The sequence below is a fragment of the Homo sapiens genome, chromosome 19 (assembly GCF_000001405.40).
Source record: "Homo sapiens chromosome 19, GRCh38.p14 Primary Assembly".
NCBI lineage: Eukaryota > Metazoa > Chordata > Mammalia > Primates > Hominidae > Homo > Homo sapiens.
In genome coordinates, this window is record NC_000019.10 from 45,306,335 (window position 1) to 45,334,196 (window position 27,862).

Sequence of the window (27,862 nt, forward strand, 5' to 3'; positions counted from 1 at the left end):
TGCCTAGACAGGACAAACCACTCTGAGACCACACAGTGGCCAATTGCACGTCCTCCCTCAATAACTATCGCACAAAGCTAAGGCCACCAATGCTTTTATTTATCGCTTTGCGTGGAGACAAAGCACAAGCTCCGAGTGTGCTGGGAGCTCTCCATTAACTAGAGCTCCTGGTTGGGGTGGAGCTCTGGGAAAAGAAGAGGACCCTGCCAGGGAGATATTTCATTGGCCAGAATCCAGAGGATGGAGCCCATTGGTTGGAACTCTGGTTGAAACTGGAACTCTGAGAAGGGTGGAGAGAGCCCCCAGGTGGGACTCTGGGACAGGGGGCGGGGCGAGGAGTGAGGGAGCAGGACTCTGGTGGGCCAGGCCCTCCCACTGGCTGGGTTCCAGCAGTCGGTGGCAGGTGGGCAGGCGCCTACTTCTGGGCGGGGATCATGTCGTCAATGGACTGGCCTTTCTCCAACTTCTTCTCCATTTCCACCATGAGCTTCACACCATCCACCACCAGCTGCACCTGTTCTACTTCGGACGAGCCCAGCCGATCAGCGTTGGACACGTCAAATACTGAGCCCACGGCAGCTGTGTCCACGCCACCTGTGGGAGCAAGGGACAGGGGCGTGAAGAGGCAGCGAAGGTGCAGAGGGGCTGGGACGTGGCCCCCGTGCCAAATGCAACAGCCGCATGTAGTGAGTGCCTACTGTGTAACAGGTTACCTGCACACAGGTAATGCCTGTTCATTCGTGAGCTCACGAGTCTCTGACTTCAGATGGGGTACCACGCCACTCAGTTATCAAACATAGTATAGTGGGTAAGAGAGTGGGTTCTGGAGCCAGGCGGCCTAGGGTCGAATCCTGACCACTCCTCGCTTTATAAATGGGGAAACTGAGGCCCCGAGGGAGGTCCAAGGGCATGTGCAATGCATATTATATAATCATGAAAATCCCACATTGACTCCTATCACATAGGCATATTGACACCCATTTTACAGAGGAAGAAATGCAAGCTCACAGAGGGTCAGCCCTTGCCGGATCCCCAGAACTCGCAGGGATGTCGCACCTCTCCTTGCATCCCTGCAAAGGGCCCTCGCTCCCCCTCCGTCGTGGTGCAAAGGATGTGGGAGCCGTACCTGTACCCCTCTTCTGCAGACGCAGGCGGGTGAGGATCTCCTCGAACTTGGGGTGCTTGCTCAGGTGCGCCAGCTTCACATGCACGCCTCCACGCAGCCCAGTGCCCAGGTTGGATGGGCAGGTGAGCACGTAGCCCAGGTGCTGGTTCCACATGAAGGGGTGGCCAGCTTTCTTAAAGATCTCCTCAATCTGAGGTTCAGAGAGAGGACCAGGGGTCAGCGCCGGCAGGCACCCCCAAATGCACCCGCAACATGGACAGGGTCCGGAGGGACAGGGCGTGGGAACGTGGTGGAGGTGGGATTCTGAGGGGAACAGGGAGGTAGGAGATTCCGAGGGTGCTGGCTAGACAATGGGGACCAAGGCAGGATTTTGAGGGGCGGGGACTAAGAACGCTTTGAAGGCGGGTTTTTTTTTTTTTTTTTTCCAGAGTCTCTCTGTGTCACCCAGGCTGGAGTGCAATGGCGTGATCTCGTCTCACTGCAACCTCTGCCTCCCAGGTTCAAGCGATTCTCCTGCCTCAGCCTCCCGAGTAGCTGGGACTACAGGCGCGCGCCACTACGCCTGGATAATTTATTTATTTATTAATTTTTTAGTATAGAGACGGGGTTTCACCATGTTGGCCAGGCTGGTCTTGAACTCCTGACCCTCCTCAGCCTCCCAAAGTGCTGGGATTACAGGCGTGAGCCACCGCTCCCGGCCTGAAGGCGGATCCTTACGGGCGGGGCTTGGGCATAGGGTGGAGCTGGGTCCAGGGGCGGGGCCCTGAAAAGCGGGTGGGGCTAGTTTTGGGGGGCGGGGTTTGGCATGGGGTGGAGCCAGGTCCGGGGGGCAGGGCCCTGGAAAATGGGTGGGGCAGGGCTTAGTATAGGGGAAGGGGCGGGGCCTCGGAAAGCAGGTGGGGCGTTCAAGGTGGAGTCAGAAGTCAGCAGCTAAGGGCAGACACCCACCTTCTGCAGCCCTACGCAGAAGCGGCGGAAAACCTCCTTCATGTTGCCCCCCTTCTCCATGGAGATGACCCGGAGGTGATCCTCCTCGTTCACCCACACCAGGAAGCTCTTGTTGTCATTGTGCCTAGAGTAAGGTGCCGCAGCAAGAGGCCAAGGTGTCAGCCCCGTGGGAACCCCATTCCCAGCCCTCCCCCAAAACATCTGCCCACCGATGGGGGAAGAGGGCCTGAGGGGTGGGAGGTGGGTGGCATCTGCCTCCTCAAAACGCAGAAGCTTAAACCTGTAGACTCTAATGTCACAGGATCTGCAAAACGCTGAATCCTGGGATCAAGGACTTTTAGGGACTTAAGTCTTTGAACAGTATTATTATAGATCCTTGGGATCTCAGGATGTTTGACAAACAGAAGCTTGGGATCAGAACTGATAACACTTGGTAATCCTACATCTGGTTTCAGGACCAGAAAATCTTCCCATCGTAGTGTGTTAGCTCCCAATCCTAGCATCTCAGAAGCAGGATCTTAGAACATAAAATATTAAGGCTGGGTGCGGTGGCTCACGCCTGTAATCCCAGCACTTTGGGAGGCCGAGGCGGGCGGATCACAAGGTCAGGAGATCGACACCATCCTGGCTAACACGTCGAAACCCTGTCTCTACTAAAAAATACAAAAAAAAATCTGGGCATGGTGGCGGGCATCTGTAGTCCCAGCTACTCAGGAGGCTGAGGCAAGAGAATGGCGAGAACCCGGGAGGTGGAGCTTGCAGTGAGTCGAGATCGCGCCACTGCACTCCAGCCTGGGCAACAGAGCGAGACTCCATCTCAAAAAAAAAAAAAAAAAAGAACATAAAATATTAAGATCCGGAAATGGCCGGGTGTGGTGGCTCATGCCTGTAATCCCAGCACTTTGGGAGGCCAAGGCCGGAGGATTGCTTGAGCCCAGGAGTTCAAGACTACCCTGGGCAACATGGCAAGACCCACATATCTACAAAATTTAAAAAATTAGCAGGCATGGTGGGACACATGCCTGTAGTCCAAGCCACTGGGGAGGCTGAGGCGGGAGGATCACTTGACCTTGGAAGGTCCAGGCTGCAGCGAGCTATGATCCCACCACTGCACTCCAGCCTGGGCAACAGAGCAAGACCCTGTCTCAAAAAAAAAAAAAAAAAAACCTGAGGGCAGGCATGGTGGCTCACGCTTGTAATCCCAGCACTTTGGGAGGCTGAGGTGGGCGGATCACTTAAGGTGAAGAGTTCGAGACCAGCCTGAGCAACATGGCAGAACGCTGTCTCTACCAAAAATACGAAAACTAGCTGGGCACAGTGGCACATGCCTGTCGTCCTAGCTACTAAGGAGGCGGAGGGTGAGAGGATCGTTTGAACCCGGGAGATGGAGGTTTCAGTGAGTCGAGATCAACCCACTGCACTCCAGCCTGGGCCTCAGAGTGAGAGTCCATCTCAAAATAAATAAATAAATAAATGAGTGGAATCTTAAAACCTAAAAATATTTAAAATCTTGAAATCTTAGAATCATCCCATCTGTATATCTTAGCACCCAGGCTCCCTTCATCGATTGAAACCTAGGTTCTCTAAATCTTTGACTATCTGAATCAGGGATTCAAAGAGTCAAAACAAGTCTAGCAATAATACTTTATAATAAAGATAAGACGAATAACCAAGATGTACTGAACACTTAGTGTATACCAGGCACTGCTTTTTTTTTTTTTTTTTTTTTTGAGACAGAGTCTTGGTCTGTCGCCCAGGCTGGAGTGCAGTGATGCGATCTTGGCTCACTTCAAGCTCCGCCTCCCGGGTTCACGCCATTCTCCTGCCTCAGCCTCACGAGTAAGTAGGACTACAGGCGCCTGCCACCAAGCCCAGCTAATTTTTTGTATTTTTAGTAGAGACGGGGTTTCACCATGTTAGCCAGGATGGTCTCGATCTCCTGACCTCGTGATCCGCCCGCCTTGGCCTCCCAAAGTGCTGGGATTACAGGCGTGAGCCACCGCGCCTGGCCCAGGCACTGCTTTTAATACTTTACATAAATTAACTCATTTAATCCTCACAAGAACACCAGAAACTACAAATTATTGTGATCCCTATCCTATAGCTAGGAAACTGGGGTAGAGAAAAATAAAATAAGTTGCCCAAGGTCACAAAGCTAGTAAAGTTAGTAAATGGTAGAGCTGGGATTTGAACCTAGGGAGTACGGTTCAAGTCTGAGTTCTTATTTTTGAGACAGGTAGCTGGAGTGCAGTACCTCGGTCATGATTCACAGTAACCTCAATCCTCTGGGCCCAGCTGATCCTCAGCCTCTCGAGTAGCTGGGACCACAGGTATACGCCATCACGCCTGGCTTTTTTTTTTTTTTTTTTTTTTTTTTTTTTTTGAGACGGAGTCTCCTGTCGCCCAGGCTGGAGTGCAGTGGCACGATCTCAGCTCACTGCAAGCTCCGCCTCTTGGGTTCAGGCCATTCTCCTGCCTCAGCCTCCCAAGTAGCTGGGACTACAGGCGCCTGCCACGACGCCGGGCTAATTTTTTTTTTTTTTTTGTAGTTTTAGTAGAGACGGGGTTTCACCGTGTTAGCCAGGATGGTGTCAATCTCCTGACCTCGTGATCCGCCCACCTTGGCCTCCCAAAGTGCTGGGATTACAGGCGTGAGCCACCGCGCCTGGCTTTTTTTTTTTTTAATTTTTGTAGCGACGTGGTCTCCCTATGTTGCCCAGGCTGGTCTAGAACTCCTGGGCACAAGCGACCCTCCTGCTGCAGCCTCCCAAAGTGCTGGGATTACAGGTGTGAGCCACTGTGCCCGGCCAAGTCTAAGTTCTTTCTTTTTTGTTTGTTTTTTTTTGAGACAGTCTGGCTCTGTCGCCCAGGCTGGAGTGCAGTGGCACGATCTCGGCTCACTGCAACCTCCGCCACCTGGGTTCAAGCGATTCTCCTGCATCATCTTCCCAAGTAGCTGGGACTACAGGCGCCTGCCACTACGCCCAGCTAAATTTTTGTCATTTTTAGTAGACACCGTGTTGGCCAGGCTGGTCTCAAACTCCTGACCTCAAGTGATCCCCCCGCCTTGGCCTCGCAAAGTGCAGGGATTACAGGCATGAGCCACCGTGCCCCGCCAAGTCTTAAGTTTTTAACTACCACTTCTCCGGTCCAGATATCCCAAAATCTGACACACAGACCACAGGATGGGCAGGGGCGGAGGGCAAGATCATTTTCCGTGGCATTTAGAAGATCATAATTACGTATATGGCCTTGGTTTTGGTGGAGGAGTGAGGAGGGCCGTTGCAGGACTGGAGGAGGCTGGGGGAAGAGGAAGCCAGGGGGCGGGGAGGGGCCTCACCAGATGCCACGGGCGTCGGGCCAGTCGCGGGCCATGCCTGAGGCCAGCAGCAGCGGGGACACGGGCTTGTCGAACAGGAAGTGGTCATCGATGAGCTGCTGCTGCTCCTTCTCCGTCATGCTCTTCAGAGGGTAGTACTTCCCTTTGAACTCGCCCGTCAGGCTGTTGAGAGCTATGGGGACACACGAGGGAGTGGTCAGCAGCCTGTCCCACCTCAACCAGGGTGTGGAGGCCCAGGGTTTCCCCTGCTGCTGCTCCTAACGGGCCTGGGCCTTGGCCCCCTGGATGTCCTAAAGGCACCTGAACCCTGTGTCTAAACCCACACTTGTGACGGCTCCCCAAAATCTGTTCCTGCCATCTGTCCAGGCCCCCAGGAATGGCCACCCCATGTGCTCAATCTGGAAAACAGACCCACCTCTTCCCCTGAGGGACCCTCACATCCAATCCACCTGCAGGCCACAGTGTGCTGGTGCCTGCTCCTAATGGCTGGCAACACAGATGGCTGAAGTCTCAGGACTTTGAGAGGCCATTAGTAAAAATTATTATAAAGTAGAATGGTAGCCAGGTGCACTGGCACGAGCCTGTAGTCCAGATACTGGGGAGGCTGAGGCAGGAGGATCACTTAAGCCCAGGAGTTCGAGTCCAGTCTGGGTAACATAGCAAGACCCCCATCTTTTTTTTTTTTTTTTATGAGACGGAGTTTTGCTCTTGTTGCCCAGGCTGGAGCGCAATGGCGCGATCTTGGCTCACTGCCACCTCCGTCTCCCGGGTTCAAGCGAATCTCTTGCCTCAGCCTCTCAAGTACCTGGGATTACAGGCATGCGCCACCATGCCCGGCTAATTTTGTATTTTTAGTAGAGACGGGGTTTCTCCACTTGGGCGCCTGGCCCAAGACCCCAATCTTTAAAAAAAAAAAAATTGTAGGCTGGGCGCAGTGGCTCATGCCTATAATCCCAGCACTTTGGGAGGCCAAGGCAGGCAGATCACTTGAGGTCAGGATTTTGAGACCAGCCTGGCCAACATGGTGAAACCCCGTCTCCACTAAAAATACAAAAATTAGTCGGCCATGGTGGCACACGCCTGTAATCCCAGCTACTCAAGAGGCTGAGGCACGAGAAACACTTGAACCCAAGAGGTGGAGGTTGCAGTGAGCTGAGATTTTGCCACTGCACTCCAGCCTGGGTGACAGAGTGAGATTCTGTCTAAAAAAAAAAAAAAGAAAAAAAATTGTGTGTTTATTTGTATATTCATGTATAAAATATGTGTATAATGAATTTGTGTTTGTGCATATGTACAATAAATCTATAATATTTATATATCTTATACATATTCATATAATATACAGACATACCTCGTTTTATTGCATTTTGCAGATACTGTGTTTTTTACAAATTGGAGGTTTGTGGCAACTCTTTGTCCAGCAGGTCTATTGGAGCCATTTTTCCTACAGCATGTGCCACTTCGTGTCTCTGTGTCACATGTGGGTAATTCTCACAGTACTGCAGACTTTCTCATTATTACTATATCTGTCATGGCGATCCGTGATCAGTGATCTCTGATGTTACTGTTTTAATTTTGGGGGGTGCCACCGACCTTGCCCATATAAAAGGGTGAACTTAATGGATAAATGTGTGTGCTCGGACTGCCCCACTGACCAGCCATTCCCTCATCTCTCCCCATCTCCTTGAGCCTCCGTATTCCCTGAGACACATGATTTTGAAATCAGGCCAATTCAGTTCATAACCTTACAATGGCCTCGAGGTGTTCAAGTGAAAGGAAGAGTCAACATTTTTCACTTTAAATAAAAAGCTTCATAGGCCAGGTGCGGTGGCTCACGCCTGTAATCCTAGTGGTTTGGGAGGCTGAGGCAGGCAGATCACCTGAGATCAGGAGTTTGAGACCAGCCTGGCCAAGATGGCGAAACCCCGATTCTACTAAAAATACAAAAATTAGCCAGGCGTGGTGGCGCATGCCGGTGATCTCAGCTACTTGGGTGGCTGAGACACGAGAATTGCTTGAACCACGAGGTGGAGGTAACAGTAAGCCAAGATTGCACCACTGCACTCCAGCCTGGGCGACAAGAGTGTGGCTCCATCTCAAAAAAGAGATTCTTTTCAAACTATTACTGCTGGCCAGGCACTGTGGCTCACACCTGTAATGCCAGCACTTTGGGAGACCAACATGGGAGGATCACTTAAGCCCAGGAGTTGGAGGTTATGGTAAGTCATGATTGCACCACTGCATTCCAGCTGGGCAACAGAACAAGACCCTGTCTTGAAAAGAGAGAGAGAAAGAGAAGGAAGGAAGGAAGGGAGGAAGGGAGGGAGGAAAGAAGGAAGGAAGGAAGGACGGAGAAGAAAAGGGAAGGGAAGGGAAGGAAGGGAGGGAGGGAAGGAAGGGAAGGAAGGGAGGAAGAAAAGAAAGGAAAGGAAGGAAGGAAGGAAGGAAGGAATTGCCGCAGCCATCTCAACCTTGAACGACAACCGCCCTGATCAGTCAGCAGCCCATCAACATCAAGGCAAGGCCCTACACAACAGAAAGGTTCCAACTTGCTGAGTCCTCAAATGATCACAACATTTTTAGCAGGATTTTAAAATTAAGGTATGTACTTTTTTTTTTCTAGACATAATGCTATTGTGCACTTAACAGACTACAGTATAGGATAAACATAACTTTTTTTTTTGAGATGGAGTCACACTCTGTCCCCCAGGCTGGAGTGCAGTGGCGTGATCTCAGCTCACTGCAACCTCTGCCTCCCAGGTTCAAGCGATTCTCCTGCCTCAGTCTCCCAAGTCGCTGGGATTACAGGTGTGTGCCACCAGACCCAGCTGATTTTTGTATTTTTAGTAGAGATGGGGTTTTACCATGTTGGCCAGGCTGGTCTCAAACTCCTGACCTCAAATGATCCACCTGCCTCAGCTTCCCAAAATGCTGGGATTACGGTGTGAGCCACTGTGCCTGGCCTCTTTTTATTTGTTTTTGAGGCAGGTTCTCACTCTGTCACCCTGGCTGGAGTGCAGTGGCACAATCACGATTCACTGCAGCCTCAACCTCCCGGGCTCAAGTGATCCTCCCACCTCAGTCTCCTGAGTAGCTGGGATGACAGGTGTGTGCCACCACTCCTGGCTCATTTTTGTCTTTTTTGTAGAGACAGGGTCTTGCTGTATTGCCCAGTCTGGTCTTGAACTCCTGGGCTCAAGCGACCCTCCCTCCTAGGCCTCCCGCACTGCTGTGGGAGCCACTGTGCCCGGCCTCAACTCCTCCTATCTGAGGTGGCTCCCCTCGGTCATTCTCCACCACACCCATGTCTTGGCTTCATGGCACTTTTGAATTATCTTGTTCATCTGTGGGTTTCTGTATTTCCTCTTGTCTCCCCACCAGCTGAACACTCTGTGAGAACAGTGAGGGACCCCTATCTCCCCACACAGGGCAAGAACCCCTGGAAATGTGTGCTGGATGAACGGATGGCAGGACGCTGGGGGCAGCCAGGTGTCTGCGTAGGTCTTCTCAGGGGCCGTCGGGTCTGGACAGCATCCCTGAATCTCCAACACAGCAGGTAATGCTGACAGCCCGCGCCATTCCCCAAGCCCCCACGATTTACCAAGCTCTTCCCCTACTTTGAAAAGCGGGGGCCCAAAGAGACCCGAGGACCTGCCCATGGAGGAACAGAGCCAGGGCTGGGTGACCCCAGCAGTGGACGGGGTAGGGGCGCTCACCTTCCACAGAGAGCTTCTCCACCGCCCGGCGCTCGCCACGGGAGCAGTGTGGGGGCAACGTGTAGCCCTTGATGCTGCGGCCAGTGCGGACGCGGCTGCTGAGCACGTAGTTAGGGTCCAGGTCGTCTCCACCCTGGAGAGCGGGTGGGAGATCAGGACCAGGCAGATCCTCCGCCCTCTCCAGCAAGCCCAGGTCTCCCCCAGATGCTCCCCTCAGTCTCCCTGTTGCTTCCTTTGCCTTCTGCATCCTCACTGATTGGGTGTGTGGAGCCTCTCCCCGCCACCCATACCTGGGCTCTGTCTCTCCCTTCTCTGTCTCTCTCCCCTCTCCTATCTCTGTTTTTCTTTATACCTCTCTCTCCCCATCTTCGTATATTTCTTTTCCTTTTTTTTCTTCGAGACAGGGTCTCTCTCTGTCGCCCAGGCTGGAGTGCAGTGGTGCCATCATAGCTCACTGCAACCTCAAACTCCTGGGCTCAAGCAATTCCCCTGCCTCAGCCTCCCAAGTAGCTGGGACTAACAGGTAGGTATATGCCACCATGTTCGGCTAACTTAAAATAAATTTTTTATAAATAGAGACAGGGGCTGGGCGCGGTGGCTCACACCTGTAATCCCAACACTTTGGGAAGCCGAGGTGAGCCAATCACCTGAGGTCAGGAGTTCGAAACCAGCTTGGCCAACATGGTGAAACCCCATTTCTACTAAAAATACAAAAATTAGCTGGGCGTGGTGGTGCGCGCCTGTAATCCCAGCTACTCAGGAGGCTGAGGCACGAGAATCACTTGAACCTGGGGATCAGGGGTTTCCGTGAGCTGAGATCGAGCCACTGCACTCCAACCTGGGTGACAGAGTGAGATTCTGTCTCAAAAAAAAAAAAAAAATAGAGACAGGGTGTCACTATGTTGCCCAGGCTGGTCTCAAACTCCTGGGCTCAAACAGTCCTCCTGCCTCAGCCTCCCAACGTGATGGGATTACAGGCATGAGCCACCATGCCTAGCTAAATTTTTAGGCTTTTTTTTTTCTTTTTTTTGGGCAGAGACGGGTTCTTGCTATGTTGCCCAAGCTGGTCGTGAACTCTCCTGGCTTCACGTGATCCTCACACCTCAGCCTCCATAAGTGCTGGGATTACAGGTATAGCCACTGCACCCAGCCTTTCTGCCCATTTCTGTTTCTCTTCCTGTCTCCCTTTCTCCCACTCTCCTTGTCTGTGTCTGACTGCAACTGCGTGTGTCTCTCTCTCCCTGTCTCTCCTGCCTTCTCTGATGCTCCCTTCTGTCTCCCTCTGTGTCTCTGCCTCTCCCCCCACCCTTTTTTTTTTAGGCAGAGTCTCGCTCTGTCACCCAGGCTGAATAGCTAGGATTATAGGTGAACACCAGCATGCCTAGCTAATTTTTGTATTTTTAATAGAGACTGGGTTTCACCGTGTTGGTCAGGCTGGTCTCGAACTCCTGACCTTATGATCCGCCCACCTCAGCCTCCCAAAGTGTTGGGATTACAAGCGTGAGCCACTGTGCCCGGCTATGCCTCTTCCTTTTCTACATGCTTTTGTGCCTTTCTTCTCCCTCTCCCTCTCCTTTGTCTGTCTGTCTCCTTGGTTGTCTGTGTCTCCTTGGCTGTCTCTGTGTCTCTCTGTCCCTCTCTCTTTCCTTTTTTTATTTTCTGAGATAGAATCTTGCTCTGTCACCCAGGCTGGAGTGCAGTGGCATGATCTCAGCTCACTGCAGCCTCCATCTCCTGGGTTCAAGAGATTTTCCTGCCTCCACCTCCTGAGTAGCTGGGATTACAGGCACGCGCCACCATGCCCAGCTAATTTATTTTATTTATTTATTTATTTATTTTTTGAGACGAGTTTCGCCCTTGTTGCCCAGGCTGGAGTGCAATGGCACGATCTCTGCTCACCACAACCTCTGCCTTCCAGGTTCAAGCGATTCTCCTGCCTCAGCCTCCCACGTAGCTGGGATTACAGGCATGTGCCACCACACCCAGCTAATTCTGTATTTTTAGTAGAGACGGGGTTTCACCATGTTGGTCAGGCTGGTCTCAAACTCTCAATCTAAGGTGATCTGCCCGCCTTGGCCTCCCAAAGTGCTGGGATTACAGGCGTGAGCCACCGCCGTGCCCAGCCCTTTTTTTTTTTTTTAAAGACAGAGTTTTGCCATGTTGGCCAGGCTGGTCTTGAACTCCTGACCTCAAGTGATACGCTCGCCTCAGCCTCCCAATGTCCCTCTCTCTTTCCATCTCTCTGCTTCTCCACACCTCTGTGTCTCTCTCTGTCTCTGTATTTCTCTGTCTCCCCCCATTTCTCCTGTGATCTCTCTCCTCCTCACCCCTCGGCCCTCCCCTCCTGCGCAGACACCGACCTTGAGGTTTTCATGGTTGAGGTCAGTCTTGTGCTTGTCAGTGGGTTTGTAGCCCCCGTGGCGATCCGAGATGATGGGGTCAAAGAGTTCCTTGAAAACTTCGTAGGACTCCTCATCACCAGCCACGCAGCCCACGGTCATGATGAAGGGGTGACCTGGAGGGGTGGGGGTGAGGTCAGAGCTGCTTGTCCCCAGCAAACAGGGCGTGGGCTTGTGGGCTCAGTGGAGCCTGTGTGGACATGTGTGTCGGGATGGGGGCGGGTACATTCAATACCTCTGGGTGGGAATTGAGAATCATAAGGGTTGGGCACAGTGGCTCATGCCTGCAATCCCAGCACTTTGGGAGGGTGAGGCGGGTGAATCTCTTGAGGTCAGGAGTGTGAGACCAGCCTGGCCAACAGGGTGAAACCCCATCTCTGCTAAAAATACAAAAATTAGCTGGGTGTGGGGCACACACCTGTAATCCCAGCTACTCAGGAGGCTGAGGCATGAGAATTGCTTGAACCAAGGGAGTGGAGGTTGCAGTGAGCCAAGATCACACCACTGCACTCCAGCCTGGGTGACAGAGCAAGACTCTGTCTCCAAAGGAAAAAAAAAAAAAGAGAGAACACTGAGGACTGGTGGGAACTGGGAGGGAAGGCTGGGAGAGGTCAAGGTGGCTGGGAGGGGTCAAGGTGGGAGAGAAGAAAGAGTGCTGGGGGCGGGGTCAAAGGAGAAAGGGGAGCTTCAGAGGGTACATGGTGCTAAAAGCATCAGCACCTCGGAAACATTAGCACCCAAAGTCATGACATCTTAGCCTGAAATGTTAGGATCTCAGGCTACCACCGTACCACAGAGGGTCAGGAGGGTAAGAGACTTGAAAGACCCTCTTGTTTCCCAGTGGAAAAACAGGGGCCAGGAGAGAGGGGCTTCTCCCCGGCATCACACAGTGAGCTGGATGTGAGGGGCACTAGAGCCTCCCCTCCACTCCCAGCTCTCTTCGCCTTGCAATGTCCTTTGAGAAACAACCATAACATTAATAACATCCCCTGTCAGATTCTTTTTTTTTTTTTTTGAGACAGGGTCTCACTCTGTGGCTGGAGTACAGTGGCGCGATCTCGGCTTACTGCAACCTGCACCTCCCAGGCTCAAGCGATCCTCCCACCGCAGCCTCCTGAGTAGCTTGGACCACAAGCCCTCATCACCACACTTGGCTAATTTTTTTGTATTTTTTGTAGAGACAGGGTCTTGCTATGTTGCTCAGGCTGGTCTCAAACTCCTGGCCTCAAGTGATCCTCCCACCTGGGCCTCCCAAAGTGCTGGGATTACAGGCATGAGCCACTGCACCTGGCCCCCCTGTCAGAGCTTGAGCACTCACTTGGTGCCAGGTGCCACTCTAAGCACTGCACAGCCATTGACTTGTGTTTTCACAACGTGGGCGCCCATTTTTCAGATGAGGAGACTGAGGTTCAGGAGGTGAACCGACCTCCTTGGGGATCTCACATTATTCTCGTGCATGTTTATTGCGTGGTTTGCTGAGTACCTCGCACTGTCCCAAGCCTTTATGTATATTAATGCATTGATTCCCACAACAGCCCCATTTTACAGATGAGAAAACTGAGGCCCCCCCCCCTTCAAGGGTGGTGGGATTGGGGCATGGCCGGCAGCCTCCAGAGCCCCCATGTAGCCCCTTCAGTGCTCCACTGGGGAGGCTCACCTGGGTTGTCCACTCCTGTCTGGATGACATCGTCTACAGTGAAGCCAGATGGAGTCTCCTTGTCCCGCAGCTTCTTGTAGAGTTCAAGGGTCAGTACCTTGGCCATGTGGTTGTTATGTTTGCTGAGGTCGGGGTACTCCTCCTCAGGCTTGTAATTCAGCTTGAACTTGTTGTGGGTGTTACCGAATGGCATGGTGGCGGTGTAGGAGACCTGATGGGCAGGGCAGGAGGGGAAGATTGAAGATTAGCTGGCATCTTTTTTCTTCTTCTTCTTCTTTTTTTTTTTTTGAGACGGAGTCTCGCTCTGTCACCCAGGCTGGAGTGCAGTGGCACGATCTCGGCTCACTGCAAGCTCCACCTCCTGGGTTCACACCATTCTCCCGCCTCAGCCTCCCGAGTAGCTGGGAATACAGGCGCCCGCCACCACGCCGGCTCATTTTTTGTATTTTTAGTAGAGACGGGGTTTCACCATGTTAGCCAGGATAGTCTTGATCTCCTGACCTTGTGATCCGCCCGCCTCGGCCTCCCAAAGTGCTGGGATTACAGGCGTGAGCCACTGCACCCGGCCTTTTCTTCTTTTTTTTGAGATGGAGTCTCACTCTGTTACCCAGGTTGGAGTGCAGTGGCGAGACCTCGGCTCACTGCAGCCTCCACCTCCCAGGTTCAAGAGATTCTCCTGTCTCAGCCTCCTGAGTAGCTGGGATTACAGGCGCACACCACCATGCCTGGCTAATTTTTTTGTATTTTTATTAGAGATGGGGTTTCACCATCTCTACTGGTTGGCCAGGCTGGTCTCGAACTCCTGGCCTCAAGTGATCCACCCGCCTCGGCCTCCCAAAGTGCTGGGATTACAGGCGTGAGCCACTGTGCCCCGCCTAGCTCGCATCTTGCAGACAGCAGCAAGAGAACTGGGCAAGGCGTTGGGGTCAGGCAGGCTGTGTAACTTGGAGCAAGAGAAATCCTCTCTCTGAGCCCCTGTGTCTCAGCAGGAAGGCATCCGGAGTCTTAGATCAAGGGCCTGGCTCTGCCGTATCCCAGTTGGGTGAGCCTGGACTAGTCATTCTTGCTGGAAACTCAATTTCCCCAGGTGGAAAACGGGCCCCTCCCGGAGGCTGGAAAAATATTTTGTGTGGGTAAGAGTGTAGGTTCTGGAATCAGCCCAGGGTTTGATTCCCAGCTCTGCTACCTACAACCAGCTGTGTGGCCAGGGGCAAGTTGCTTAACCTCTGTGCCTCAATTTACTCATCTAGAAAATGAGGATCCTAACAGCACTTGCCGCATGGGAGTGTTGAAAAGATTAAATGTGTGAATACAGGTGTAGCTCTCGGAACAGTGCCTGGTACACAATAAGCATTATTTCACTTAGCTGCTATTATTATTATTATTATTATTATGTTTGAGACAGAGTCTCGCTCTGTCGCCCAGGCTAGAGTGCAGTGGCATAATCTCAGTTCACTGCAACCTCCACCTCCCAGGTTCAAGCAACTATCCTGCTTCAGCCTCCTGAGTAGCTGCAACTACAGGCGTGTGCCACACCTGGCTATTTTTTTTTTTGGTATTTTTAGTAGAGTTGGGGTTTCGCCATGTTGGCCAGGCTGGTCTTGAACTCCTGAACTCAAGTGATCCGCCCACCTCTGCCTCCCAAAGTGCTGAGATTACAGGCATGAGTCACGGCACCTGGCCTGTTGTTGTTATTTTAAAGGTTCGTGCGAGGAGCTGGTGAGAAGGTGGAGGTGAGGGTGCTGCTGGGAGTATGTGAGCAGGTTCTTGGATTATCAATCCAAAGACAAAGGGCTGGGTCGGGGGAGGGCTGGGTAGCTGCCCCCACCTCTGCCTGCTGACAGTTCTCCCACAGGGCTCAGAAGGGAAGAAAAGCTCAGCCTCTGGGTCGTCAGAGGCAGGTTCAAATCCCACCTATGCCATTTCCCTGCTGTGTGACCCCAGGCCAGTCACTAGGCCTCTCTGGACCTCTGTCTCCTGTGAACTGAGCCTGCCCCGTAGGATTGCCAGGATCCTCTGAGCTTGGCCATGAGGTTGGCTGAGCACAGGCCCTGGCATGGAGTTGGAGCCTGGAACCCTGGTGGCTGCTATTATTGTTATTTGTTATTACTACTTTTTTGCAGAGATGGGGTCTCACTATGTTGCCCAGGCTGGTCTGGGACTCCTGGCCTCAAGTGATCCTCCAGCATCGGCCTCCCAAGATGCTGGGATTATGCGTGTGAGCCACTGCGCCAGGTCCTACTGTTATTATTATTTTATTCACTGGACCCAGAAAGGAGAAGGGACCCAGAAAGGAGAAGGGGCCTCCAGCAGCGGTGGGAGACGGGGATGGGAAGCAGGTGGGATTGTGGGAGGGAGATTGGGACCACGGTGAGCTGAAGCCAGGGAAGAGGAACAGGGACCCGCCAAAGACCTTGGGTGCTGCTGTCCAGGGTGGTTATTTTTAGAATCTGGCAACTGCCTGCCATCCCACCCCCAGCTGCTGCCCCGCCCCACCCCCACATTCCGGGGCTCGGCTTGCACCAAGTCAGCAGGCCCAAGACAGGTGGGCCAGGGTGGCTGGGAGGACACGGGTCCAGGCCTCGGGGCTCAAGGACATCCTGGGATGGCAGCCCAGACCCCCTCCCTTCAGAGGATGCCCCCCTAATCCCTGCCAGGGACACCCCAGGAGAGGGCACTGAGGCAGGGTGGTGACCCCCCCCACAAGAGACATAAGCAGAAAGCCCCAGAGCCACACACCCCCACCACCGCAGACTCCCCAGATCACACTGTAAACTAAGTCACACAGTCACACTTCCAAACTCAAGGACATGCCCAGGACACTCATGTGTCCGCTACTAAGTCAGAAACAAGGTCACAGGGACCCACACAGTAGCAAACGCAAAGAAAGCCTGCGACACCTGCTCTTGCAGACTCTGCTAGGCGACAGACACACCTCCCACGGCTTGTGGCGCCAGTGTTGGCGACAAACTGTAATGAACACAGGCCTGGCTCAACAGCCCCTTGCAGGGGGTGACAGTTGGCAGCTGTCAGGACCCCTTTCATCTCGGATCCCTCCCCATAACCCAAGACTTGTGCCGCAGAAATCACAGGTCCCAGTGGGGGGTTCAGGCAGCCTCACAGATGGAGGGGCCTCCCAGACACACAAGGGTCAACCTTCCCACGCACCGACCTGCCTTTGTATAGGAGGATGTTGGTGGAGCAAGGGGTGACACACAGACCCTTTCCCAAGCCAAGCCTCTAGCACCCACAGAAATCCCCTACTCTGGCCCCCACCCAGATTCCCGCCCCGTGCAGTACCTGGCTGGGCTGGGCTGAAGGGGGGCTGTCTGTATCCTGGAGGTGACACTGACCCAAAGGAAGGGCCAGCAGCCGTGGCCTTATATAGGGGGACCTAGGCTGTGCTATTGGCTGGGAGGGGTTGTCCCCAGGGAGGAGTTCTGGAGGGCAGCTGAGCCTCTCACCTCCCTGCTCCCGCACCATACCCACCCTGAACCCAGGCATGCTTTGCGCCCAGCCCCATGGCCTTGTATGGGCTGAGCCGCCCCAGGGGCTGGGCTCACGCCCCCCCACCAAGCTGATACCCTGACCAAGTGCTGAGTTGGGCTGGCGGTGGGGACAGCTGGCCCCCCGCCGGGAACATGGGACGGTGGCTGGGAACGTCCCAAGCACGTAGAAGCCACCGTCCCCTGGCCCCTGAGTCTCCTTCAGCCACCAGCCCTTCCTGTGGCCCTCGGCTCCCCCTGTGCCCCCTGGGCCCTCACCCCTACCCGAGTCCCAGCGGCACCTCGGGGAACCAAGGTGTGGCTCCAGGAGGAGCAGATACCCTGTGAGCTGGAGGAAGCAGAGGCCGGGAGAAGGACCAATTGCAATGGAGGGCAGTCTAACCCCAGAAACCCGCGCTTGGGCGCCCCTTCCTCCTAGGGACTGAGTGGAGGGGAAACTGAGGCTGGCTGAGTTGGAGAGATTCAAACTCAGGGCAAGGGTGGGAGGCGGTGGTCACCCTCCCCCCCACTTAACCCTCGCCCCCTCGGTGCCACTGGGAGATTTCCGCTGTGCGGGGGACAGGGAGGGTCTCGGTCGCCGGGAAAGGAGTTATTTTTAGAGGGCGCTTTGCTGTCTCCTCTGCCGCAAAGGCCGAGACCCGAGGCGCTGGGTATGGGGGGGTTCGGGGGCAGGTGTTGGAGGGGGGTTCGCCACGTGTCCTGGTTAATTATAACCGGGCGTCTCGGGTGTCCTCGGGCCTCGCCTCCTTACAAGGGCAGCCACGGGGCCCTGGGTGGCCGCTCCCACCTCCCGGGGAAGGGGGCTGGGCAGCGACGCCGTTCAGAGCGCGGGCGCCAGACTCGCGCAGATCTGGGCAGAGCAAGCGCTCTCGGCGCCTCGGCTGTGAGCAAGGACTTCCAGGGCTGAGAGGGGGGTTCTGTGGAGGAGAGTACAGTATAGAGGAAGCCGCTTTCTCCTCCTGGGACGCGCCAGGATTGCAGGCTGATCGGGTCTCCTCCTCCAGGGAGCTCCCAGGATTGCGACGAAGAAAAGAATGTCCCTTCCCTCTGAGTTCCTCCCTATCCCAGGGTCTCCTGGGTCTCCTTCACATCTTCTTAGGCAGGTGAGGACTGGCTTAGAGAAAGGGAGCCTCTGTGCCTCTCCCTCAGACTCCTGATCTGAGGGGGGAGGGGAGAGGGGTGCTTTAGAAATATTTACATGGGGCCCAGCCCTTTCCCAGCAAGCTCAGATTGCCGAGGGTCTCCTTCACGGTTACGGAAACTGAGGCCCAGAAAACCAAATGGAACTGGTCTCGAAACAGGGATCTATCAGGCACTTCCTGAGGCTACAACAAAACACAAAACCCCCGCCGTCCTGGAGGTGATAGTGCAAGAGGGTCACAGATGAGGGGACGGCACAGCAGCAGGGGAGGTCGAGGCAGGCCTCTTTGGGAAGATGACATCTGAGCAGAGACCTGAAGGAGAACAGGGAGCCAGCCATGTGCGGCTCTGGGGGGAACAGCAGGTGCAAAGGCGCTGAGGTGAGAATGGCTGGGCACATCTGAGGACAGACAGGAAGGAGGCCAGGGGACTGGAGCAGATGGGGCCAAGGAGAGAGTGGGAGGAAGAAGATGAGGTTGGAGGGGAGACAGGAGCAGACCCATGGTGCCCTAGGGGCTGTGGGAGGAGTTTTAATCCCATTGTGATTGACAGTGAAAATGTTAGATGGGCCGGGCACAGTGGCTCAGGCCCGTAATCCCAGCACTTTGGGAGGCAGAGGCGGAGGCGGGTGGATCACTTGAGGCCAGGAGTTCAAGACCAGCCTGGCCAACATGGTGAAACCCCATCTCTACTAAAAGTACAAAAATTAGCCTGGCATGGTGACACACGCCTGTAATCCCAGCTAGCCAGGAGGCTGAGGCATAAGAATTGCTTGAACCTAGGAGGTGGAGGTTGCAGTGAGCTGAGATGGCACCATTGCCCTCCAGCCTGAGTGACAGAGCAAGACTCAGTCTCACAAAAAAAAAAAAAAAGAAAAGAAAAGAAAAAGAAAATGTTAAATGAACCAGGTATAGAAAGACAAACATCACAAGTTATTTGTGGGATCTAAAAATCAAAACAAGGAGGCTGAGGCAGGAGGATTGCTTGAACCCAGGCAGTCGAGGCTGCAGTGAGCTGTGATCGAGCCACTGCTGCACTCCATCCTGGGCAAGAGAGTGAGACCCTGTCTCACACACACAAAAATTAATTAAAATAACTAAAGGAGTATAATTGGATTGTTTGTAATATAAAGGATAAATGCTTGAGAAGATGGATACCCCATTCTCCACGATGTGATTATTACAAGTTGCATGCCTGTATCAAAACATTTCATGGCCGGGTGCAGTGGCTCACGCCTGTAATCCCAGCACTTTGGGAGGCCGAGGTGGGCAGATCACCTGAGGTCGGGAGTTCAAGACCAGCCTGATCAACGTGGAGAAACCCTGTCTCTACTAAAAATACAAAATTAGCCGGGGTGGTGGCACATGCCTGTAATCCCAGCTACTCGGTAGGCTGAGGCAGGAGAATCGCTTGAACTCGGGAGGCAGAGGTTTCTGCGGGCCGAAATCGCGCCATTGCACTCTAGCCTGGGCAAAAAGAGTGAAACTCCATCTCAAAAAAAAAAAAAAAAAAAAGAACAAAACGTTTCATATACCCCATAAATATACACACCTACTAAATACCTACAAAAAATTTTTTAGAATAATTTTTTAAAATATTAAATGGAAAAAATCATCATCATCATCCCACTGTGAGACTGACAGGAGGCACTGAGGGTCATAAGCAGGGAAGAGGCTGGATCCATGCCACACGCATTTTGGGTGGCACGGTCCAGCCACACCTTGTGGGAGGGTTTGTTTTTTTTTTTTTTTTTTTGAGATGGAGTCTTGCTCTATCACCAGGCAGGAGTGCAATGGTGCGATGTCAGCTCACTGCAACCTCCGCCTCCCAGGTTCAAGCGATTCTCCTGCCTCAGCCTCCCGAGTAGCTGGGACTACAGGCATGGGCCACCACGCTCTGCTAACTTTTATATTTTTAGTAGAGAAGGGGTTTTGCCATGTTGGCCAGGCTAGTCTCAGACTCCTACCTCAGGTGATCCACCCACCTCGGCCTCCCAGAGTGCTGGGATTACAGGCGTGAGGCACCCTGCCGGGCCCATTGCACATTCTTTTTAGCCACACAGTGCCAGAAGCCTTTTCTATGTTCGGGGATTCCCCACTGTAAGCCCTCCTCCTTTGGAGAAGCCAAAGATGCCAGAAACTCAATTTCCCAGAATCCCTTGCAGCAATGGTCCAGGCCAGTGACCTGGGCTGAGCCAATCAAACGCTCCAGCAGGACCTTGTGCCGTGAGCTCCCTCTGCTTTGAGTCTTAAAGAAACAGTTGGCCTTGGGGAGCTTTACAACCCTCATCACGTATCTTCATCCCACCCCCCAGAGCCCGACTGTCAATCCGACCTCTGCCCCTCCACTGCCCACTCTAGCTCAAGACCGCCTCCACTGTCCCTCCTGACCCAACTTCCTCCCTGGACTCCTGTCCCAGTCTTTGCCATTCCCACCTAAACCCTACCTGCTGACCTCCCCTCCTCAGAGCTTGCCATGGCTCCCCAGTGCCCTCAAGGTAAATGAGTATTTGTTGACTAAATAAATAATAGTAACTGTATCTGGCAGATGTAGGCGAGAGTAACCACTACCCAGCTTAAATAGAAAGGACTCTGCTATTGGCTGGGCGCAGTGGCTCACGCCTGTAATCCCAGCACTTTGAGAGGCCGAGGCGGGCGGATCACGAGGTTAGGAGATCGAGACTATCCTGGCTAACACGGTGAAACCCTGTCTCTACTACAAAAATATACAAAAAAAAAAAAATTAGCCGTGCGTGGTGGCAGGCGCATGTCGTCCCAGCTACTCCGGGGCCTGAGGCAGGAGAATGGTGTGAACCCGGGAGGCGGAGTTGCAGTGAGCCGAGATCGCACCACTGCACTTCAGCCTGGGCGACAGAGCGAGACTCCATCTCAAAAAAAAAAAAAAAAAAAAGGACTGTACTATCATGTATTAGGCACTGACAAAATCGTTGGAAGGGCTGAAGGAACACTGCTCGGGCCCCAGAACTACTTTCCTACTTTCCCTCTGGAAAATCTAGTCTTTAGCTTTCCAGCCTCTTCATTGACAGGAGAATGTGCTCGAAGGAGGTTAACATGGACATTAAACAGCCACTCCACAAAGAAGCTTTTGTTTGTTTGTTTGTTTGTTTAGACATGGGTTCTTGATGGGGTCTCGCTATGTTGCTCAGGCTGGAGCACAGTAGTTATTCACAGGCACAATCAGAGTGCACTGCAGCCTCCAATTCCAAGCCTCAAGCAATCCTCCCGCTTCAGCCTCCCGAGTAGCTGGGACTACAGGCGCGCACCACCACTCCAGGCCCTGACAGTTAACTTTTATTGAATACACCTGTATGTCAAGTACTGTGCTAAGTGCTTTACATATGTTGACTTATTTAACGTCCCCAACAATAAGGCTCAGAGAGGTTAAGTGACTTGCCCAAAGTCACACAGCTGGAAGGGGGCAGAACTGGGAATCAAACAGGTACAAGGCTGCCAAGAATGGATTCAGGCTTTGGTGGAAATAACTTCCAGGCTTCTCCCCGACGTCAGACTGTATTGTCAGCCTCTTTCTAGGTCATCAGGCTCTAGTGTACCCACTTCCCCAACCCATCTCCCATCACCCCAGCCATCTGACTTCAGGGTCCAAGGACTTTAATGGGTATTCACTAGTTTAATTTTCCAACAGTCCTATGAAGTGAGTACTGCCAATTTTTTTTTAATTTACTTTTCTTCTGGGAGTCTAGAAGGTACTGCCGTTTTTACAAATCAGGAAAGTAAGGCTGGCCCAGAGAGGTTGCAACACTTATCGAAAGTCACACAGCAGGGAAGTAGCAGAACAAGACTGGACTAGGCTGTCAGTCCTGGAGCTTGTCTTCCTAATCTCTTCCTGATCCCCACTTCTTCATGTCGAACCCCCTTTTCACAGAGGACGAACGCTGGGGCCGAAAAGGGCAAGGGAGTTACCTAAGGTCACAGCCAGTATAACTGGAATTACAGTCTACACTCTTCTCCCTCCATTCCCAAGGCAGCCCTGCCCTCAAACCCTGTCTTACTCTTAAGCATCTCATCTGTCTCTGTCCCTACCCTCAGGAAGAGGCTGCCACCTCCAGGAGAGACTCTGGGAGGGCAGCACTCCACCCCCATGGCCCACCACCCTGTAATGCCCTCCCCCATGCACTCCTCAAATCCCTTTCCCAAACCGGGCCATTTACGATGCCATTTGATTCATAGAAGACAAGTTGTAAATCAAGGCCAGACCCAGGGCTGGGGAGTTGAGACCCTGCCCATTCCTCCTTTCTCTTCCTGGAGAGCCAGGCCAGCCTGCAGCCCCATAATCAGCTGACCAGGGTCTGGTCCATAGGGTAGTGGGTGGTGAATAAAATAACGTCTTTCATGGCTCCCAACTTGTCCTGCCCCAGTCTCTCCAAATCAATCAATCTTTTTTTTTTTCTTTGAGAGGGAGTCTCGCTCTGTCACCCAGGCTGGAGTGCACTGATTCGATCTCGGCTCACTGCAACCTCTGCTTTCCGGGTTCAAGCCGTTATCCTGCCTCAGCCTCCTGAGTGGCTGGGATTCCAGCTGCCATCCACCAGCCTTGGCTAATTTTTGTATTTTTAGTAGAGACAGGGTTTCACCATGTTGGCCAGGCTGGTTTCCAACTCCTGACCTCAAATGATCTGCCCTCCTTGGCATCCCAAAGTGCTAGGATTACAGGCAGGAGCCACTGCGCCTGGCCTAATTTTTGTATTTTTAATAGAGATGGGGTTTCACCATGTTGGCCAGGCTAGTCTTCAACTCCTGACCTCAAGTGATCCGCCCGTCTCAGCCTCCCAAAGTGCTGGGATTACAGGCATGAGCCACTGCACCCAGCCCCAGATCAATCAATTTTATCAAATTAGCTATACATTTCCCTCTAGGTGCTGCTTTAGGTTTATCCCAGGTTGTTTTTTGTTTTGTTTTGTTTTTTTCTTGATGTTGTTTGTTTGTTTAGAGACAGGATCTCACTGTCTCCCAGGCTGGAATGCAGTGGTATGATCTTGGCTCATTGCAGCCTCCATCTCCTGAGCTCAGCGATCCTCCCACCTCAGCCTCCTCAGTAGCTGGGATCACAGATGTGTGCCACCATGCCCAGCTAATTTTTGTATCTTTTGTAAAGACACAGTCTTGCTATGTTGCCCAGCCTGGTCTTGAACTCCTGACCTCAAGCAATCCTCCTGCCTCAGCCTCACAAAGTGCTGGGATTGCAGGTGTAAGCCACCATACCTGGCGTGTTTTTTTTTTTTTTTTTTGAGACGGAGTCTCGCTCTGTTGCCCAGGCTGGAGTGCAGTGGTGTGATCTCGGCTCACTGCAAGCTCTGCCTCCCGGGTTCACACCATTCTCCTGCCTCAGCCTCCTGAGTAGCTGGGACTGCAGGTGCCTGCCACCACATCCAGCTAAATTTTTTGTGTGTTTTTCGTAGAGACAGCGTTTCACTGTGTTAGCCTGGATGGTCTTGATCTCCTGACCTCGTGATCCACCTGCCTCAGCCTCGCAAAGTGCTTGGATTACAGGCGTGAGCCACCGGCCCGGCCCATACCTGGCCTGTTTTTATATTCTATTATCATTTCAAATGTATTTTTATTGGAACTGTTATATTTGGAGTGTATGGATGTTCACACTTATTCATATTTTATTTTCTCAAATTTACTCTTTTTTTTTTTTTTTTTTTTTTGAGATCGAGTTTCGCTCTTGTTGCCCAGGCTGGAGTGCAATGGCGGATCTCGGCTCACCGCAACCTCTGCCTCCCAGGTTCAAGCGATTCTCCTGCCTCAGCCTCCCGAGTAGCTGGGATTATAGGCATGTGCCACCATGCCTGGCTAATTTTTGTATTATTAGTAGAGACAGGATTTCACCACGTTGGCCAGGCTGGTCTCAAACTCCTGACTTCTTGATCCTCCTGCCTCGGCCTCCCAAAGTACTGGGATTACAGGCGTGAGCCACTGCGCCCGGCCAAATTTACTGTTTTTATTGAGGCATAATTTATTTTCTTTCCTTCCTTCCTTCCTTCCTTCCTTCCTTCCTTCCTTCCTTCCTCCCTCTCTTCCTCTCTTCCTCCCTCCCTCCTTTTTTTTTTTTGAGACGGAGTCTCACCCTGTCACCCAGGCTGGAGTGCAATGGCGTGATCTCGGCTCACTGCAACCTCTGCCTCCCGGGTTCAAGCGATTCTCCTGCTTCAGCCTTCAGAGTAGCTGGGACTACAGGTGCGCGCCACCACACCTGGCTCATTTTTTGTATCTTTAGTAGAAACGGGGTTTCACCATGTTGGCCAGGCTGGTCGAACTCCTGACCTCGTGATCTGCCCACCCAGGCCTCCCAAAGTGCTGGGATTACAGGTGTGAGCCACCATGCCCGGCCTATTGAGGCATAATTTCTATTTGGTGAAGTGCCCTAATCTTAAAATCAATGAACTTTTATATTCGTGTACATGTGAATAAGCATCACCAGGATCTAAACAGAGACTACTACCAGCTCCCAAAGAAACTCTCTCATGTCCCCTCCCAGTGAATGTCTCTCTCTCCTCCAAGAAAATGTTCTCGCTGAGCGCAGTGGGAGGCCTAGGTGGGTGGATCACTTGAGGTCAGGAGTTCGAGACCAGCTTGACCAACATGGTGAAACCCCGTCTCTACTAAAAATACAAAAAATTAGCCAGGCGTGGTGATGCATACCAGTAATCCCAGCTACTTGGGAGGCTGAGGCAGGAGAATCTCTTGAACCCGGGAGATAGAGGTTGCAGTGAGCCGATATAGTGCCACTGTACTCCAGTCTGGGCAACAACAGTGAAATTCCATCTCAAAGAAAAGAAGAAGGCCGGGCCACCCTCTGCCTCCTGGGTTCAAGCGATTCTCCTGCCTCAGCCGCCTGAGTAGCTGGGATTACAGACACGTGCCACCACGCCTGGCTAATTTTTGTATTTTTAGTAGAGACGGGGTTTCACCATGTTGGTCAGGCTGGTCTTGAACTGCTGACCTTGTGATCTGCCCACCTCAGCCTGAAAAGTGCTGGGATTATAGGCAGGAGTGACCGCGCCCGGCCCATTTGTCTAATTTCTTTTGCTCAACTTTTTTTCTCTTCGGATTCCTTTTTTTCTTTCTTTTTTTCTTTTTGTACAGATGGGGTGGGTCTTGCTATGTTGCCCAGGCTGGTCTTGAACTCTCAGCCTCAAGTGAGCCTGCAGCCTCCAATTCCAGGGCTCCAGGCTTAGCCTCCCAAAGCGCTGGTGTGGCAGAGAATAGGGAATTAGGGTAACTGGGGGTTCATCAGGTACAGCCAGTTTGCATAAGCAACAGAATAGCAGGTGCAGTCAGTTCATGGAGGCAGGAGAGCCACAGGTGCATACAGGCTCTATTCTCCCTCCCATGATAATAAGCCACTCCAGCCTCTGATTGACTGCGAGCCAGGTCTCCACTTGGGCTCTGATTGGTCATGAGCCAACCCTTCATAGAGTGTAACCAATTGGAGGCCTCTGAAGGGCACCTAGGGGTGTTGCCGGGTCCTTTTTAGCTTAATAAAAACCCTAACTGGCAGGCCTGGCGCGGTGGTTCGCCTGTAATCCCAGCACTTTGGGAGGTCAAGGCGGCCAAATCACTCAAGATCAGGAATTTCGGACCAGCCTGGCCAACATGGTGAAATCCCGTCTCTACTAAAAGTACAATAATTAGCCGGGTGTGGTGGCGCATCCGTGGTGGCTCGTGCTAGGAGTCCCAGCTACTCAGGAGGCTGAGGTAGGAGAATCGCTTGAACGCGGGAGGTAGAGGTTGCAGTGAGCTGAGATCATGTCACTGCACTCCAGCCTGGTCAACAGAGCGAGACTACGTCTCAAAAAAAAAACAAAGACAACCCTAATTGGGGAGGTGCTCCAGCCCGCTCCCACTCTGTGAATTGTCTTGGATAAATCTCTGCTTTGTCTTCTGTTGCTTCGTTCTTTTTTTCCTTTTTCTTTTTATTGAAACAGACTACCCCAAAATGCAATAACTTTTTGTTTGTTTGTTTGCTTTTGAGACGGAGTCTCGCTCTGTCACCCAGGCTGGAGTGCAGTGGCGCAATCTCGGCTCACTGCAAGCTCCGCCTCGTGGGTTCACGCCATTCTCCTGCCTCAGCCTCCCGAGTAGCTGGGACTACGGGCGCCCGCCACCACGCCCGGCTAATTTTTTGTATTTTTAGTAGAGACGGGGTTTCACTGCATTAGCCAGGATGGTCTCCATCCCCTGACCTCGTGATCCGCCCGCCTCAGCTTCCCAAAGTGCTGGGATTACAGGCGTGAGCCACCGCGCCCGGCCTAATAACTTTTTTTTGTTTTCTTTTTTTGACTCACTCTGAGGCCCAGGCTGGAGTGCAGTGGTGCGATCTTGGCGCACTGCAATTTCCACCTCCCAGGTTCAAGCGTTTCTCTTTCCTCAGCCTCCGGAGTAGCTGGGTTACAGGTGTGTACCACCACACCCAGCTAATTTTTTTTTCTTGAAATTTTAAAATCTCTCAAAAACTTATACAGGTGAATTTTGATCGTCATGATGGGCTTATTGGTAGGATTTTTGGTAACAAGCACGGGCACCAGGACCTCCAAACTTTTTGGACTCAGAGCGACGGGGATCAGCTACCAGCAGGGTCTGGTCATACTGGATGAGGATGTCTTTGATCTCCTTGGAAGACTCATCCGCATATTTCTGGTACTAGGCCACCAGGGCTCTGGAGATGGACTGACAGCATAAATCTAGGCCCCTTCACATGGACATGGATGTCCACACCAGCAAATCGCTCCTTGCCGGGACCGAGAAAGAGAACTGGCTCCAGCAGCTTGTATCGTAGTGTGCGCAGCTTGATCATCTCCAGGAGCCGCCCATTCACCTTGATGAGGCCATCGCCGTGTTTGCAGTGCACCACAGCTGTGGCTGTTTTCTTGCCACCGAAGACCTGCACAGATTGCAGCTGGCCCTCGGACCGCATGGCTGCGAGCGTGAACTAGAGACCCTCACCACGTGGTGCTGCAATCAGAAAAAAAAAAAAGCTAATTTTTTTTTTTTTTTTTTTTTGAGAGGGAGTTTCGCCCTTGTTGCCCAGGCCGGAGTGCAATGGCGTGATCTCGGCTTACTGCAACCTCCGCCTCCCCGGTTCAAGTGATTCTCCAGCCTCAGCCTCCTGAGTAGCTGGGATTACAGGTTTCTGCCACCACACCCGGCTAATTTTTGTATTTTTAGTAGAGACGGGGTTTCACCATGTTGGCCAGGCTGGTCTCAAACTCCTGACCTCAGGTGATCCACCCACCTCGGTCTCCCAAAGTGCCAGGATTACAGGCGTGAGCCACTGCGCCTGGCCATTTTATTTTTATTTTTATTTTTTTACATTTTATTTTTGGTTCATGGTTTTTTACATTTTATTTTGGTACAATTTTATTTTGGAGACAGGTTCTTACCTCTTGCCCCACTCTTTTTCACCCAAGCTGGAATACAGTGGTGCCATCATAGCTCACTGCAACCTTGACCTCTGGGGATCCCACCTCAATCTCCCAAGCAGCTGCAACTACAGGTGTGCGCCACCACACTTGGCTCATTTTAACTTTTTTTTTTTTTTGTGGAGATGGGGATCTTGCTATATTGCCCAGGCTGGTCTCAAACTCCTGGTCTCAAGCAATCCTCCTGCCTTGGCCTCTCAAAGTGCTGGGATTACAGGTGTGAGCCACCATGCCTGGTCAATAGCTCTAAAATGGATGTGGGGTTGGCTGACAGTTGGCCAATCCAGGCCGGGCTCAGATGGGAAGTTCTGCTTCATATGGGAACCTTGTGGAGTGCAGGCTGAGGGGAGAGGAAGCTCTCAGGGGAAGCCCGTCTCATGGTGATGCTGAGATGCAAAAAGAAATGTTCAAGGTCTCTTGAGGCCTAAGCTCAGAACTGACACGACTGTCACTTGTGCCCCTCTGCTATTGGCCAAAGCAAGTCACATGGCCACACCAAAAGTTCAAGGCCCATCATTTTGTCGTCCTCCACAGGTAAGGATTATATCAGGTGTGCTTTTCTTAAAT

At 52.5% G+C, this 27,862-nt stretch overlaps 1 protein-coding gene and 1 pseudogene across 1 annotated transcript, besides 2 other annotated features; both read right to left on the reverse strand.

The window, feature by feature from the left end:
* Positions 1 to 78: 78 nt before the first annotated feature.
* CKM (creatine kinase, M-type) lies at positions 79 to 16,541 on the reverse strand. The gene is made up of 8 exons (NM_001824.5): positions 16,487 to 16,541; positions 13,187 to 13,397; positions 11,491 to 11,645; positions 9,131 to 9,263; positions 5,415 to 5,586; positions 2,075 to 2,198; positions 1,127 to 1,316; positions 79 to 594 (listed from the first exon to the last, which is right to left on the reverse strand). The coding sequence occupies exons 2-8, from the start codon at positions 13,377 to 13,379 to the stop codon at positions 416 to 418; spliced, it is 1,146 nt and encodes a 381-aa protein (NP_001815.2). The 5' UTR covers positions 13,380 to 13,397; positions 16,487 to 16,541; the 3' UTR covers positions 79 to 415.
* Positions 2,196 to 2,353: a silencer, noted in NCBI's record as "fragment chr19:45811788-45811945 (GRCh37/hg19 assembly coordinates)". NCBI's record gives its function as "represses an EF-1alpha promoter that drives an FKBP-Casp9 reporter gene in an ReSE screen in phorbol 12-myristate 13-acetate-treated (for megakaryocytic differentiation) K562 erythroleukemia cells {active_cell/tissue: K562(+PMA)}" and the evidence as "EXISTENCE:reporter gene assay evidence [ECO:0000049][PMID:32094911]".
* Positions 17,265 to 17,507: an enhancer, noted in NCBI's record as "heart enhancer 22". NCBI's record gives its function as "activates a minimal c-fos promoter by transgenic reporter assays in zebrafish embryonic heart {active_cell/tissue: heart(embryonic)}" and the evidence as "EXISTENCE:transgenic organism evidence [ECO:0001131][PMID:20075146]".
* RPS16P9 (ribosomal protein S16 pseudogene 9) lies at positions 26,302 to 26,842 on the reverse strand (annotated as a pseudogene).